The sequence below is a fragment of the Homo sapiens genome, chromosome 9, assembly GCF_000001405.40.
Source record: "Homo sapiens chromosome 9, GRCh38.p14 Primary Assembly".
Lineage (NCBI taxonomy): Eukaryota > Metazoa > Chordata > Mammalia > Primates > Hominidae > Homo > Homo sapiens.
In genome coordinates this window covers 35456061-35472360 of record NC_000009.12, presented here as the reverse complement: position 1 = coordinate 35472360, position 16300 = coordinate 35456061, and the positions used below count along the sequence as shown (strand labels likewise).

The window sequence follows — 16300 nt, the reverse complement described above, 5'->3', positions numbered from 1 at the left end:
ATGTTGGCCAGGCTCGTCTCGAGCTTCTGACCTCAGGTGATCCGCCTGCCTCAGACTCCCAAAGTATTGAAATTACAGGCGTGAGCCAACGCACCCGGCCTAGCTTTTTTTAATTAAAAAATTTCAATTACTTATTGATATGAAATTTACTTAGTTAACATATAATTATCCATTTTAATGTGTACAATTTAGAGGCATTTAGTGCATTTACAATGTGCAACTACCACCTCTCTCAAGTTTCTAAACTTTTTCGTCACCCCAGAAAGATTATTCCATGTGTTCTAGTTTTTTAGATGTGATTACCTTCCTCTGTTAGCTAGGACACTGGGTATGACTGTTCACACACATGAGGACTTAACTCTATCACAAAAACAAGCTTATGCTTAAGGCATAAGATAAATAAGGGATTGGGCCTGGGAGACACTGATCAAACTCTGACTACCCTTTGATGGTTTCTCTCAATAATATTTATTGCTGTAAAGGGGAATCAAGAAATTAGCAGCTTCAGTAATACATTGACTGCTCCATTTAATTTATTTTTAATTTTATTATTAATTGACAAATACTAATTGTATATATTTATGGATACAATGTGATGTTTTCATATATGTATACACCATGGAATGATTATATCAAGCTAACTAACATATTTATCACCTTGCATACTTATTTTTTTGTAGTGAGAACATTTAAAACTCTTTTAGTAATTTTGAAATATGCAATACATTATTATTAACTAGGATCAACATGCTGTGCAATGGATCTTGAAGACTTATTCCTCCTGCCTAACTGAAACTTTGTACCCTTTGACCAACATCCATCTGATTTAAAGTGGGAGTGAACTGAGTACATAGACATTGGGGACTCCTTGAGGACAGAGACTAAGTCTTGCACATCTCGGTATTCTCAATGCCCAACACAATAGATTGTACCTATAAGATGCTAAATAAATGCTTTTTGGTTAGAACTGTTTGGGCTGGGTGGTCTTTGCTTAGAGAATAGAGACAGTTGTGAGAATAGGAGATAAATGTGAATTCCAGAGGCTTACAGATTTAGAGCTAGATTAGTCTTGAAAACAATTTGCAAAGTAAAAATTTCCCAGGACTTGGGGAAAGCAGGAAGACATGCATATCATAGAGCTTCCCATTAATAGAACATTTGTTGAAAATCATAATGTTCTGAGTCAGAGTCCCTGTTTTGTCAGAGAACACATATTTGACTTGGCCGAGCTCCTCAGTAAGGGTGGTAGTACGAGCCTGTGCTGGTGTGTTCCTTGGTGCATAAAACATCTTCCGATCCCAGTTGATATATAAACTGTTGCCCAATCTTATTATTTCAACACTAAGGAGAAAGCAGAAAAAGAATGGTTCTGCGTCAGAACAGGACAAGCAAATATATCATCCTGGTTTCTTTCTTAGCAGGGCTAAGCATCTGAAAATCAGAGTGTCTTCCTTGGGATTCTACCCTTCTGAAGGACCCTTCCCACCAGCCAACCCATTGTAATGCTGACTTTGGCCATTATCACCCAAGGCTTTACCACCTGGACCCAGATATACTTGATTAACTTTTTTGAGTCATACCTGGCTTTTATTCTTTTTTTTTTTTTCCATAATGTATCCAGGAAAAGTTACAATTTTGGAATTTCTGCAGTAATGCAAGGTGTGATAGAGTAACAGTTAACTTATAAAAGGCTGTGTTGGCCCAATTGGAGGATTATTGCTCCTGTCACATGGGGAAGACAGAGAACCTTGACACACTCAGAGTTTATTTCAGAAGAAGGAAAGAAGCTATGAAAATCAGGAATAGTTTATGGGCTGACCCTCTGATAAATTTCCAGGCAGAGCCAGCCTGCCTGTGGTGTGTCTCCTCCCACAACAACCTCTTCTCATTTTATATAAGTTTTCCCTATTGCCTCTGTCATACTCCTCTTCTGCTCCAAATAGCGTCCATTATAGATTCTTTATGGCTAACAAGCATGTTCATTTTAAAACAGTGAAGACTTTTAAGGGGTCTCCTTCTTATCATCATTCATACTTAATGTGTGTTAGTCTGCTTTATTATAAGAGTGATTATTAGTAATCCCTGTCTGAGACAGCTGCACTGACAGATGGGGATTTTTTCCTTTGAGGTGAGGAAGGAGGTGCTCAGGTCCTCATCATTGACTCATTACTGATAATCTCTATGCCTGGAGTTGGGACCCCTCCCATCCTTTACCATATCAGCCACCATAGCAATCTCTCTAAACCTTAGCACATAGTAGATACTCAATAAATATTACTAAATAAGGTAATCTAGTTACATAGGGTCCTTTTTTTTTTATTGCCAAAAAGCCCCGGTACAGGGTTTAGAAAGCCTGGAAAGGAGGAAACTAAAATGTGTTTGGGTGTGTGTATGTGTAAGGAAATGCAGAACCCAGAAAAGGATGATCAGAGTAGGGTAAATACTTTTTTCAGCTATTTCAAATTTTCATTCAAGGTGCTTATGAAAAAGAGGAAGGGAAACCCTTCCTCTTCTCTTCCACAACTTTTAGGAGTTGAACTTAGGTCACAATTACACCTATCTACCATCTGTCACACTGTTTGTGTGGGAAAATGGATTCTGAATTCTGATTAATTGACTTACAAGTGAATGTTTGGACCTATCTCATTGGTAAACTATGGGCTGCCTGGCCTATCTTCCTGGGGAAACTACCCATGCTTTAAGCATCACCAAATTTGTGTGTATGTTTTCTAGTTATTTCATGTGTTTTTATGTCTTATTTAGCCACTTACTTTATAAGTTATTTGAGGGCAGGGATAACTGTCTTTTTGTATAAACCACATAGTGTCTTCCTAGCACAGTATTCTGGACATGGAAGGCATTTATGCAACCTCTAGATATATCTCAGAGCATTTTGTACACCACCTACTGTGGAGAGTGAGGGGTTAAAGAGCACAAGTGTATGCTTTTTAAAAGTTCACACTCTGGTTGGGGAATTAAGTAGACAGTATGAAGTCAGCTCCTCCCCCACACCCCAAAGTGATCAAAGAAGCCTACCTGACATAGAGGGAAATGGGCACCATGGTATTGAGAATAATGAAGTAGGACCAGAATATGAGGATGGCAGAGACAGCTGATGAAGAGACATATTTTACCCATGGCAGAAAAATCTGGAAGTGGTAGCATTTCTTGTTCTGCCAAATGCCATGCCCAACTGCTAGGACAAAACACACGATGCCTAAAACCAGGAAAATCGATACATGAAAAAAAAAAGAATTAAATTAACATTTTATCCAACATATGTGCTGCTTCAGTTCTACAGTCTAGAGCCTTATCTCTCAGCAAAGCGTCCCTCTCCTAGGAGGGCAGGGAGGCCCTATAGTTCACAGTCTCTAGGCAGCAGTACATAGGACAGAAAAGAAAGTCCAGCAGAAGCCCTCCTTGGGATTTTCAAGGGAGATAATAGTAATAAAACATAGTAATAACTAACCAAGTGCTAGGTACTATGCTAAGTATTTATACATATTATTTAATATTTACAATAATCCTCTTTTAATAATAGATGAGGAACTTAAGAGTGAGAAAGAATTTTGTCTAAAGTCACTTAGCTACTGAGTAGAAGAAACAGGTTTTGAACCAGTTCCAGAACCCAAGCACGTAATCATTCCATTATTGAAGCTGCTTTAACAGAAGTCTAAAACGTGTGGGGCTTAGCAGTTAGGGGGTGGGTGATAAGGAAACTGATATAAAAGGCTGAAAATATGGTAGTCATGTTAACATGAAAGAATTTGATAAAACTGAAAGGTAGACCATATGCCTACTGAACCTGCAGCTCTAAGAGAAGTGGTTAAAAAGAATCAAAATATCATTGTGTATTGACTGCCTTTGACAGGTATTAAAAGAAAGAGTTGGTTGGGTGCAGTCACTCATGCCTGCCATCCCAGGATTTTGGAAAGACCAGACAGGAGGATTGCTTGGGGCCAGGAATTTGAGACCAGCCTGGGCAACATACTGAGACCTCATCTGTACTAAAAAATTTTTTTTAAAGTTAAACTAGGGAAAGAATTAGCCAATTTGTAGGCAGAAATAAGGAGGTACAGAAATTTGGGGCATCAAAGAACTACGACTTCTAGACACTAAACAGGAAGAGATAAGATTGAGACCTTAAGCAAAAAAGGCCCAATAATTGTTTTCAACTGAATAAAGTGACTCAGCCTTCGGGCAAAGTTCAGGTTAAAGGTGATACCTTCTTACCCATGACTATTATTCCGCATAGCCTCAACTTTCTTGCCAGTAAGTTGAGAGAGAAGGGCATGGAGGGGCAAGGAAGCAAAGAAACAGGATAAACTCAAAAACTACGTCTAGGAAAGAATTTTGGGGGGCAGGGGGTTACTGATACATGAAACTAATTGGAAGCAAACAGATGAGAAGCCTTATGGGTTTTGAAGGAATGGTATTACTAGATAACTATGAGCCTGGTCTAAAAAAGCCTGTGACTGTTTGGAAATCCTTAAAACCACACTGGGCAGGAAGCAGGTTATAAAAACTGCAGTCCCTAAGAAGAGCATACTCCCCAACATCCACTTCAGGGTTGGTCAGCAAGGATAAAGAATGAGGGAAAACTTCTCAGGAGTGGAGCCAGAAATCACTGAGAGCAATGAATAAAGGAGATCCTCTCACATCTCCAGACCAAGAGGAACTTCATTTAGATCTGATGGAGAGGACTGTGCATCAGTGAGAGATCTTGGACTCTGAGTTGGATGCAGAGACTGGGTAGGATTTGGGGGAGATGATGAGGGTGTTCCATATGTGGGAGGAAAAGTGAAATGGTATGATGATCAGAAGGGTAGATTGTGGCAGCGATAATGATATGTATTCATTAAATTCTATTTTCTTTTCCTTCTGAGCACATATCTAGAGCACATTTCCCAAGCTCTCTTGCAGTTATATGGGTCATGTAACTCTGTTCTAGCCAATGCAATGCTGGTGGAAGTGATTATGCTACTTACACGCTTGGCCCTAAAAATCTATTATGTGTGGCCGGGTGCAGCAGCTCACGCCTGTAATCCCAACACTTTGGGAGGCCGAGGTGGGCAGATCATGAGGTCAAGAGATTGAGACCATCCTGGCCAACACGGTGAAACCCCATCTCTACTAAAAATACAAAAATTAGCGGGGTGTGGTGGCACACACCAGTAGTCCCAGCTACTCAGTCCTCAAGGCTGAGGCAGGAGAATCGCTTGAACCCAGGAGGCAGAAGTTGCAGTGATTCAAGATCGCTCCACTGCACTCCAGCCTGGGCAACAGAGCGAGACTCCGTCTCAAAAAAAAAAAAAAAGAAAAGAAAAAAAATCATGTGTGAGTCTTCCTATTCTCTCTTTTTCCCCATCTGCTGGTTGAATGCAGGGAATCCAGTAGAAGATCCTGAAATCCAAGAGGTTGGTGGGGCCATTAGCTAGAAAGAGTGTTCCTGAGTTATTGGTGGAGCAAGCTGCCCCTCCCCACAACAACCTTCATTGTATTGTCACATGTCACTGAGATTTTAAGGCTGTTTTTTTATTTTGGTTATCTTATTTTGACTAATACAACTATACTACTCATAGTTCCAGATTAATCTGATGCCCTCTATTTTTGATTATTTAACATTTAATTATTAACACACATAAAGACATATGCAGAAATCACAGATATATGTTGATGAATTTTCCCAAAGTAATCACACTAATGGAACAAATACCCAGAACAAATAAATTGAATATTCTCAGCACCCATAAACCACCCTATGTCCCCTTTCAGTCACTATCCCCCTAAAATCACACATATTTAAAGTATACAACTATATACTAGACATACACACACACGCATACACACACATATCTGTGAAACCATCACCATACTCAAGTTAGTGAAATATTCATTATTCCTAGGTTTCTCGTGCCCCTTTGAATTCCTCCTCCCCACCTTCCCACTTCTCCCTTCCCCTGGTCCTCAGGCAACCACTAATCTGCTTTCTGACACTTTAGAATATTTGAAATTTTTAGATTTTATACAAATGGAATCATATAGTATGTACTCTTTTTTTCTGGCTTCTTCTACTTAGCATAATGACTTTGGGATTCATCCATGTTTTTGCATCTATCAATTGTTCATTTTTTTAATACTGAGTAGTGTTCTATTGTATTGATATTGCACAATTTGTGTACTAATTTTTCTTTTATTGAACATTTGGGTTGTTTCCAGTTTTTGACTATTGTAAACAAGGCTGTATGGAACATCTGTGTACAAGTCTTTGCATGGACATAAGCTTTCATTTCCTTTGTACATATCTAGGAGTACAATCACTGGATCCTATAAAAAATTTATCTTTAACTTTTTAAGAAACTGCCAAATGTTTTCCAAAGTTATTATGCCATTTTACATTCCTACCAGCACTATATGTCCACCTGCCTCTAGAGACAACATGATGTTATTGAACCACCTCGAAGTCTACCCAACAGTCTTTACATCTACCCAAGAGTCTTCACATCTGTGACCTTGGTCACAAAGTATGGCTGGCTCAAAGCAAACCATCCCCATTGCTAGATAATGGGAGGTTTCATCTTTGTGCTACTGATGGGAAGGTCTTTGAAGACAAGACTAGAAAAGTAGGAGGAACAGGTCTAACTGGGACCATTCCCAGAAACTGATATTTTAAATTATTTTTTATTATGGAAAATTTAAAACACCAATTAAAGTATATAAATAGGACAACAAACCCCCATGCACCCGTGTACCCATCACCCAGCTTCAACAATTGTCAATTCATAGCCAGTCTAATTTCATCCAAACCTCCTCTTCCCCTGCCTTCTCAGAATAAATCTGTCACATTATGCAATTTCATCTGTTTAATATATAGTTCTAAATGGTTAAGATCTTATTTTAAAACACAATCAAAACCAGTATCACTTAAAAATTAGCACTAAACGCTTAATATCATTCAGTATCAAAAACTGGTATTTGAGAGTTGAGTGAGGGGCCGGGGAACAACAAAACAAAGGAGAATTGGGATAAAACACATAAAATCTGCTTTTATTCCTAGCCCAGTCCAGATTCACACTGAGTAGCTCAGCTCTTTGTGATGAGGGTTTCTCTGGGGCCATGCAATCTTTCCTTCTCAATCTTATTCCCACTTCTTATCTTTCTCTTCAATTAATCATGTGAAAACAAAGCTATTCTCATGGTTCAGATAAAGCCTCAGTGAATTATTGATCTGAGTTTGAGTTCTACTGCTCAAACTAAGCCACCAGAAAGGAAGACCACTTCTTATCAGCCCAAGCCCCAGAAAGCAGGGCTACCCTGACAGCCTGAATCCTGAAGGTGTAGGGCACAGTGTTTTCTTTCTTCATTGCTAGAGCTTTTCCTGCCATCATGAGGCCTTCAAAGCCCTTGCAGATGTTCTACATTTCTTTTTATTGTGATAGGGTTTTTTGGTACTTAGTCTTTAAAGCTTCACTTTACTTCCTTTCCATAAGGAGAAAGAAACAATAAATCATCAGTTTGTTTGGTTATTGCTACAGACCCTAGAGATTACTTAATACCAGAGCTAGTCAGACCAAAGAAGCACAGACAGCCTCCCATTTAGCAAAAAGTGGCTTCAATAAAGAGTGAAATAAATAATTTTGTCACTCTTGACAAAACTGACCAAAATCAAGGCCACTGGTCTCATAAAGGTGCTCCCTGGCCTCAGGCAGCCTGTCAAAAGAAAGCACTCCTTGGGCTTTTGGCCCTTCACATCTGTGTTTTACATTGTGCCTTACCCCAGAAGGAGATCCTGGATCTCTGGCACCATTTCAATTTCATGCACTTTGCTCATTTGTCTCACAAATACACTCCTAGTTAACAGATCATGATTTAGAAGGCATTGTCACTGGGAGTTCTGGTCACTGGGGAGAGAGAAGGGATCTAACCCCCAGCTCAGCGGTGGGCTCATCAGGAAGGAGCTTTGCTAAACGTGCTTCCTGTGTCTGCCAGATTTTCTTCTAAGAGGCATTTCCAAAAAATGGGGGAAAATGAAGTGTTTAAATCAGGAAGGATTTCTGGTTCAGTTTACTTCAAGAAATGGAAGTGTTTTACATATGACTAATTGACAATGTCCTGGCACAAATACCACAGAAACAAAACTGCTGAGCTGATAAGAACCTAGCTAATTCAAGAACATTTCTTCATTTAATAATTCAATAGAGATTTACTAAGCACTACTTTGTGCAAGGCACTTCCAAAAATATGAAGATGAATATGGTGTAATTTCTACTGTAGAGGCTCATAATCTGTTGGCTAAGACGTTCATTCATTTTTTTCACTCACTCAACAAATAATAATGAAGCTCCCATTATATGTCAAGGATCGTTCCAGGGACTTAGGGACACAGTGGTGAAAAAAGACAACATCCTTGTGGAGAGAGGTAGACAACAAACAAGAAATGAAAAAAATACCATTTAGTGATAAATGCTGTGAGGAAAATAAAACAGGTTAATAGAATAGAGGGTCTTGATGGGGGTGTTAGAGACCTTTTATCTGAAAAGGTAGCATTAAATGATGAAAAAGAAGCAAGCCATGCAAAGACTTGGGGGCAGACATTGCCAGCAAGGGTAAAGGTCCTAGGGTAGGAACAAGTTTGCTCTCTTACTTGACTTGCAGTTTTCCTGGGTACAGATTTCTAGGTCAAAATATTTTTCACTAAGAACTTTGAAGGTATGACCCTACTGGTTTCTAGGACCCAATGGTGCTTTTGAGAAATCCGATACCAATCTGCTTCCCATTTTTGTTAATATCTTATTTTTATCTCTATAAGAATTTTAAAGGGATTTCTCTTCTCTGTAACTAAACCTTTCTAGTTTGATCCTCTGTTTAAAAACAAATTATTTCTCTAATATTTTCTGTCTCTGTGTCTTTTTGTTTTATGGTCCAGGAGAGATTTTAATCCTTTAATGGGTTTTAAAAAAATATTAGCAATCCCATTTTTGATTTCCCAAATTCTATTTTGTTGTTGTTCTTAGATATTTTTCTTCTTTCCCCCTTTTAAAGCAACCTATTCTTATTTTATATATGTAATTGTTTCTTTTCTCTGAGACTAGTCATAAAAATGTTTTAAAGTTCTTTTCTTTTCTCTTCCCTGAAATATAATTTGTTTATTCTAGGTTCAGGTATTTTTTTTTAAGATGGGATATTGCTAAGTTGCCCAGGGTAGAGTGCAGTGGCTGTTCTCAGGTGCAGTAATGGTGCACTATAGCCTTGAACTCATGGGCTCAAGTGATCCTCTTGCCTTAGCCTCCTAAGTAGCTGGGAACCACACCCAGCTTCCAGGGTCAGTTATTCTATTTGTTCATCCTCATCCACCTTTTTATGCTACTTGTTTCCCTCTAGTCCACTTAAAAATATAAGTAAAATAATAGTTTGATTATTATAGGTTGCTGGAGTAGATTTCATTTCTTTTGGTTAATTTTGTTTTCCTAACAGGCCACTCCCTTGAATGGGAAACCATGAGTTCTCTGTTGGTAGAAAGAATACGTTTTTTAACAAATTTCACCCTAGGATGTACAAGAAACTTGCAGGCAAACTCAAGCCCCCCAAATTTAAAATTAAGTGGGTTTTACTCTAAGTGCTGACACTCAGATTTACAAGCCTTAGTTCTCTGCAGGTAGGTTGTTAAATTTCTTTCAAAAGCAGTTCTTTTGTTTGGGACTGGTTATTAATCCTTTGTCAGATGGACAGTTTGCAGATATTTTCTCCCATTCTGTGGGTTGTCTCTTCACTTTGCTAATTGTTTCTTTTGCTGTGCAGAAGATTTTAAACTTAATGTGATCCCATTTTGTCAATTTTTGCTTTGGTTGCCTGTGTGCTGGGATTATAATGAGCTCAAATAACTCTACAGGAAAAAACCTAATAGTCCAATTTAACAACGGACAAAAGATCTGAATAGATACTTCTCAAAAGAAGACATACAGATGGCAAACAGGTATATGACAAGGTGCTCAACATCACTGATCATCAGAGAAATGCAAATCAAAACTACAATGAAGCCAGGTATGGTGGCTGATTTCTTATTGCTCAACGTCCTTTTCTTTCTAGTTTAAGGACTCTCTTCAGCATTTTTTTGTAGGACAAGTGTGATGTTAATGAAACTGCTCAACTTTTGTTTGTCTGGAAAAATCTTTCTTTTTCCTTCATGTTTGAAAGATATTTTTACTAGATATACTAGTCTAGGTAAAGTTTTTTCCCCTTCAGCATTTTAAATATGTCATGCCACTCTCTCCTGTTAGATATGAGTTCTAAATTTCTTTTCAGAGAATTAATATGTCAGTATATTCAGTTATTTGCCTTCTACTTTTAAACTTAACTTCCTCATAAAGCAACCTTTTTCGATTACCTACTCCACCCTGACTCATTCTGATCACCTGCTCCACCCGAAATCATTCCAATTACCTGCTACCTGCTCTTCTGCCCTGACTCCTGCCAAAGCACTCACCCCATCATTCTCTTTAAATTAGCCAATCGGAATTAGTTTAACCTGTGTGGTCTAACCCTAGCCAATAGGGGAATGACACAGCAGCAGGGACCACGTACACCAGGGATAAGAACCCCTTCCCCTCCCTTGTCCAAGTGTGCATTCACCATTGTTCCATCTGTAAGGGCACACCCTTCTATATAGAAGTAACTTGCCTTGCTGAGAATTAAAAAGAAAATTTTATATTTGAATGCTATTTCTTTTGTGGCACCAAAACTTTATATATAACAATTTGGGGGGCTCGTCCAGGATTACATTCCCCTCCAGGACTGTCTCTGGTTCTCTCTCGTGAGGAGGTGCACCCGGCCCTATTGTGGCGGCCTCAGGGGTGAGAAATCAAGACCCACCCAGTGTGAGGAATAACCTGAGCTCTTAACAACACGAGGGGTCAGGGAGAGGGGGTACTGGCCAGCAACCTAGCTTAAATGATCCTCACATACTGCAGTGATGACTCTGCACAGACCAAGGAAGGAGATGCCATGGGAGCCCGTAAAGTACTTCCTTGGTGGTCAAATTCTGGAGGGCTAAATGTGTGTGTGTGTGAATGATCACCAACAACCCTGCTTGTGGTGTTATTCATGTGGATGGTGACAAGTCCTACTGCTCGACGGAGTGAGTGGGTCCTCTCTGCAGTTCCACAGCTACCTCATATGGCTTAGGGCGGATCCTGCCATAGGATTTATACTGGCATGCCAACACTAAGAAGGGCCTGATTCTACCTTGGGGGAGCAGCCAGAGAGGGCAGCATGAGTAGGAAGTGTGCAAAGGACCTTCAGAGGGGGAAAAGGGGAGAAACAGATCAACCTTCCAGGACAGGCAAGACACCCCTGGTTTGAGGGGTTGAGCCTTCCAGGACAGGCAAGACACCCCCTAGTTTGAGGGGTTGAGCCTTCCAGGGCAAACAAGGCAAGATGCCCCCTGGTTTGAGGGGTTGAGCCTTCCAGGACAGGCAAGACACCCCCTGGCTTGAGGGGTTGAGCCTTCCAGGACGGGCAAGGTGAGACATCCCTGGTGTTGAGGGGTTGAGCCTTCTGCTAATTTCAAGGGTTGAACCTGACACAACCCCCCCGCTGCCCTTTCCTTTCTTCTTGGGGGAAGAGAGAGTAGTTCCACTCCCGTAGGTCCCTACCCTAGGGGAAGAGAGAGAGAGACAGAGAGAGACAGACAGAGAGGAGAGCGAGATAGAGACAGAGAGGAGAGAGGGAAAGAGAGGCAGAGACAGAGAGAGAGGGAAAGACGCGGTGGGGGGGAAGAGAGGCAGAGAGAGACAGAGAGGGGATAGAGGCAGAGAGAGACAGAGAGGGGAAAGAGGCAGAGAGAGAGGGGAAAGAGAGGTGTGTGGGGGGGAAGAGGCAGAGAGAGACAGAGAGGGGAAAGAGGGAGAGAGAGAGGGGAAAGAGAGGTGTGTGGGGGGGGGAAGAGGCAGAGAGAGAGAGGGGAAAGAGAGGCAGAGAGAGAGGGGAAAGAGGCAGAGAGACAAAGAGGGAGTCAAAGAGAGAAAGAGAGAAAGTCAAAGAGAAAGAAAGAGAAAAATAGAAGTAGTAAAGAAAAAAACAGTGTACCCTATTCCTTTAAAAGCCAGGGTAAATTTAAAACCTATAGTTGATAATTGAAGGTCTTCTCTGTGACCCTATAACACTCCAATACCACCTCTTTGTCAGTGTAAACAAGGGTGTAGCCCGAAAGCACTGAGGCCACTGACAATCTGTAGCCTTCCTATCAAAAATCCTTAACCCAGTAACCAGCAGATGGCCCAAATGCACTCAATCTATAGCGGCAACTGCTTTACTAACAGAAGAAAGTAGAAAAATAACTTTTAGAGGAAACCTCATTGTGAGCACACCTCACCAGTTCAGAACTATCCTAAGTCAAAAAGCAAAAAGGTAGCTTACTAAAAAATCTTAAAGTATAGGGCTATTCTGTTAGAAAAAGATGATTTATCATTAACCACTGAAAATTCCCTTAACCCAGCAGGTTTCCTAACTGGGGATTTAAATCTTAATTACCATACAAAGGTCCGACCAGACCTAGGAGGAACCCTCTTCAGGACAGGACGATAGATGGTTCCTCCCGGTTGATTGAGGGGAAAAAAAAAAAAACAAACGACAGTGGGTATTCAGTAATTGATAGGGAAACTCTTGTAGAAGCAGAGTTAGGAAAATTTCCTAATAACTGGTCTGCTCAAACCTGCAAGCTGTTTGCACTCAGCCAAGCCTTGACGTACTCACAGACCAGGAAGGAACCATCTATACCAATTCTAAGTTAATTTAGACTAAACAAGGTCTTATTAACAGCAAAGGATAATTGAAATCCCAAACTTAGAAGGTTTTCGACAAAAGTAAAGTTTGCTAAAAGTTATCAATATAACACGTATTATCCTAACTTCTAATCTTATGGCCTTAGGCAGTCTAGTCCACAGACATGAAGCAAGTTCGCTTTAGAAAAGAATGGTTATCATCTTTAGGAAAATTTAAAAAGGAAAAAGAAAAAAAGAGGTGGGGGGAGAGTTTATGTAAAAAGAATGCTATACGGTAAATTCTTGTCCTAAAATAAATTAACTAATTGTTTTTTAAAAAAAAGGGATGTTTGCAACAAGTCACAAAGTTGAGCCGGGTGCGGTGGCTCACGCCTGTAATCCCAGCACTTTGGGAGGCTGAGGCGGGCGGATCACAAAGTCAGGAGATCGAGACCACCCTGGCTAACACGGTGAAACCCCGTCTCTACTAAAAATACAAAAAATTAGCCGGGCGTGGTGGCGGGCACCTGTAGTCCCAGCTACTTGGGAGGCTGAGGCAGGAGAATGGCGTGAACCCGGGAGGTGGAGCTTGCAGTGAGCAGAGATCGCGCCACTGCACTCCAGCCTGGGCGACGGAGCGAGATTCCATCTCAAAAAAAAAAAAAAAAAAGAAAGAAAGTTGAGGCATGTCGAAGAATTATCTGTGAAAGTTGTGTGAAAAAAAGGTTATAAAAGGAAATTTATGCAAGAAATGTTGTATAATTTAAAAGTAATTAGACCTCCTAAATGTAAAACTATTGAAGAAACAGTTTATGTGCAAGGTGTGTAAGGAAAGTAAAATATACTTTTGGTAACAAGATTATAAGGAGGCATAAGAATGTGAATTTTTACCTACATTAAAAGGTGAAAAATATATATATTTTGTTTTAAAGGTCTAAGCAAGTTTTAAAACGTTAATTGTAAAGGAAATTCTGTATGTAAACATATTAGCTAAAGTTAAAGAGGTAACCAGTTTTTCTGTGAACTAGACATTAAAATAAAAGCACAACAGGTTTTTCTAAAGCACTAACCTGCTCCTTAACAAAAATTATAAAAAAGGTTAAAAAGAGTCTATAAAATCTTACCTTATGGTCAGACATTAAAAACTGGATAAATATGTCTACAAGGTTTTATTAAAATTAAGTTTAACATTAATAACACACTAATATAAAGGTGAAATTTAGCTTATCTGGTATAAAAATCATACAGGAAGCATTGTTAAATATAAAATGGTGTTTGGCATTCTTTGGTCTAAAAACTAATAAAAATAGGTGCTAAAGGAAATTTCTCAGTAAGAAGGCACCAAAGACTATAAAGTCCACTGCTGATGTCCCCACGTTTAAAACAAAAGGTCAATTTCTTAGAAATTATATACTTGGTTTATCTTCCCTCAAAACTAAAAGTCTTTTAGCACAGGTACCACCCCTAGAATTTCCAGTAAACCAGCACCAGCCTGAAGATCACGTTCTCATCAAAAAGTGGAAAGAAGGAAAACTCGAGCCAGCATGGGAAGGACCCTACCTTGTGCTGCTAACCACCGAGACTGCTGTTCATACAGTGAAAAAGGGATGGACTCATCACACACGAGTCAAAGCGCCACTCCCTCCAGAGTCCTGGGCCACAATCCCAGGGGAAAACCCTACCAAACTAAAGCTAAGAAAAATTTAACTCTTTCATCTATTCCATTACTTTTTCTTCTTTCCTCGCTCTATTGCTGACCATCCAGTTATTAACATAACCAAGTCAATTTCACCTCAAACTACTGCATTTAATGCTTGCCTTGTTATACCTTGTGGGGACTTGCCAAGTCAAAGACAGCTCTCTACTTCAGAAAAGTACCTCTGTCCCTCCTGACTCTCCTCAGAATGGGCATTAGTAAATTGGGACCATTTAATCCAGGGAGATTTTGATAAAGACCCCAGTGTCAACCATGAGTCTTGCCCCCCGATGTAGAGCTTTTATGCCGTAGTTGGTCCAACGTTCTGTGGACCACTAAAGAGCAAGGATAGACTGCCCCAACCAGTTTTTATAATTTCCTAAAACGATACATTCATTTTACTAAAGGGACAGCCCCCCTAACTGTCAGCTAAACCAGTGCAACCCTATACAGGCTATTATTTCAAGCCCCCAAAGTTCTCCCCTTTTCTAAGCCGGTTCCCTTGTTTAAGCCAGTTTTATGGTATGGGGGCTGAGGTTTCAGGGACAGACCCTATTGGATTCTTTAAAATGCATTTCCTTGATCCCCTGCCGCCTACATCTGCCTCTAAGCCTTTTTCCAAAACCTCTCACAATGGAACCATTGATCCTCCTCCATCTAGTGACAAGGCCAAGATAGTGATGGTAGAAGTTAAAGACTTAAAACAAACTTTGGCAATTGAGACAGGATACTAAGGATGTAAATGCCTGGTTGAAATGGATCAACTATTCTGTCCGCACGTTAAACAAAAACAATTGTTAGGCTTGTGTGCACGGCAGGCCAGAGGCCCAGACTGTCCCCTTTCCACTAGGGTGGTCCTCCAGTCAACCAGGCATGGGCTGCATGGTAGCTCTTTTCCAAGATTCTACAGCCTGGGGTAACAAGTCATGCCAAGCTCTCACTCTGCTATATCCCGAACTCTGGCACCCTGCGGGTCAGCCCCCAAGGGCCATCCAGTTTCCATCTCCTAACACTAAGTTCCCTTCGTGTCTCTCATGACAGGGAGGAAACTTAGTGTTCCTTGGAGACCTGAAGGGAAGCAGTGAGCTTAAGAATTTTCAAGAGCTTATCAATCAGTCAGCCCTTGTTCATCCCCAAGTGGATGTGTGGTGGACCTTTACTGGACACTCTGCCAAATAACTGGAGTGGCACTTGTGCTTTAGTCCAGTTGGCTATCCCTTTCACCCTGGCATTTCATCAACCAGAAAAATTAGACATTGTAAAGCGAGAGAAGCCCATTATAGGTCTTTCAACTCTCACGTCTATTTAGACACAATTAAAGTCCCACGGGGAATACCAGATCAATTTAAAGCCCAAAATCAAATAGCTGCAGGATTTGAGTCAATATTTTGGTGGGTGACAATTAATAAAATGTAGATTGGATAAACTACATCTATTACAATCAACAGCGATTTATTAACTACATTAGAGATGCTGTTAAAGGAATAGCTGAGCAATTAGGGGCTAATAGCCAGGTGGCTTGGGAAAATAGGATAGCCTTAGACATGATATTAGCAGAAAGAAGAGGAGTTTGCGTCATGATTAAAACTCAGCGTTACACCTTCATCCCAAACACCACCACCCGTAATAAAAGTATAACAAAAGCATTGCAAGGTCTGACTGCTCTATCCAATGAGTTAGCCAGCAACTCAGGGGTAAATGACCCCTTTACAGGATGGCTAAAAAAAAGTTCGGTAGATGGAATGATAGCCTCAAGTCTTACTTCTCTCACAGCTGTAATAGGTGTATTTATTCTTGTCAGGTGCTGTGTCATACCATGCATCCTTAAGTAGATGCAGAGGCTCAT

The 16300-nt window shown here is 40.3% G+C and overlaps 1 pseudogene across 1 annotated transcript in view; it reads right to left on the bottom strand.

Moving 5' to 3' along the window:
• ATP8B5P (ATPase phospholipid transporting 8B5, pseudogene) overlaps positions 1-16300 on the bottom strand; it is a 76275-nt pseudogene that overhangs the window by 10669 nt on the left and 49306 nt on the right. The window contains exons 12-13 of the transcript NR_003581.2: positions 3037-3217; positions 1257-1341 (exon numbers count right to left, since the gene is read on the bottom strand). The product of NR_003581.2 is annotated as an ATPase phospholipid transporting 8B5, pseudogene, transcript variant 1 (transcript). The remainder of the gene's footprint in view (positions 1-1256; positions 1342-3036; positions 3218-16300) is intronic.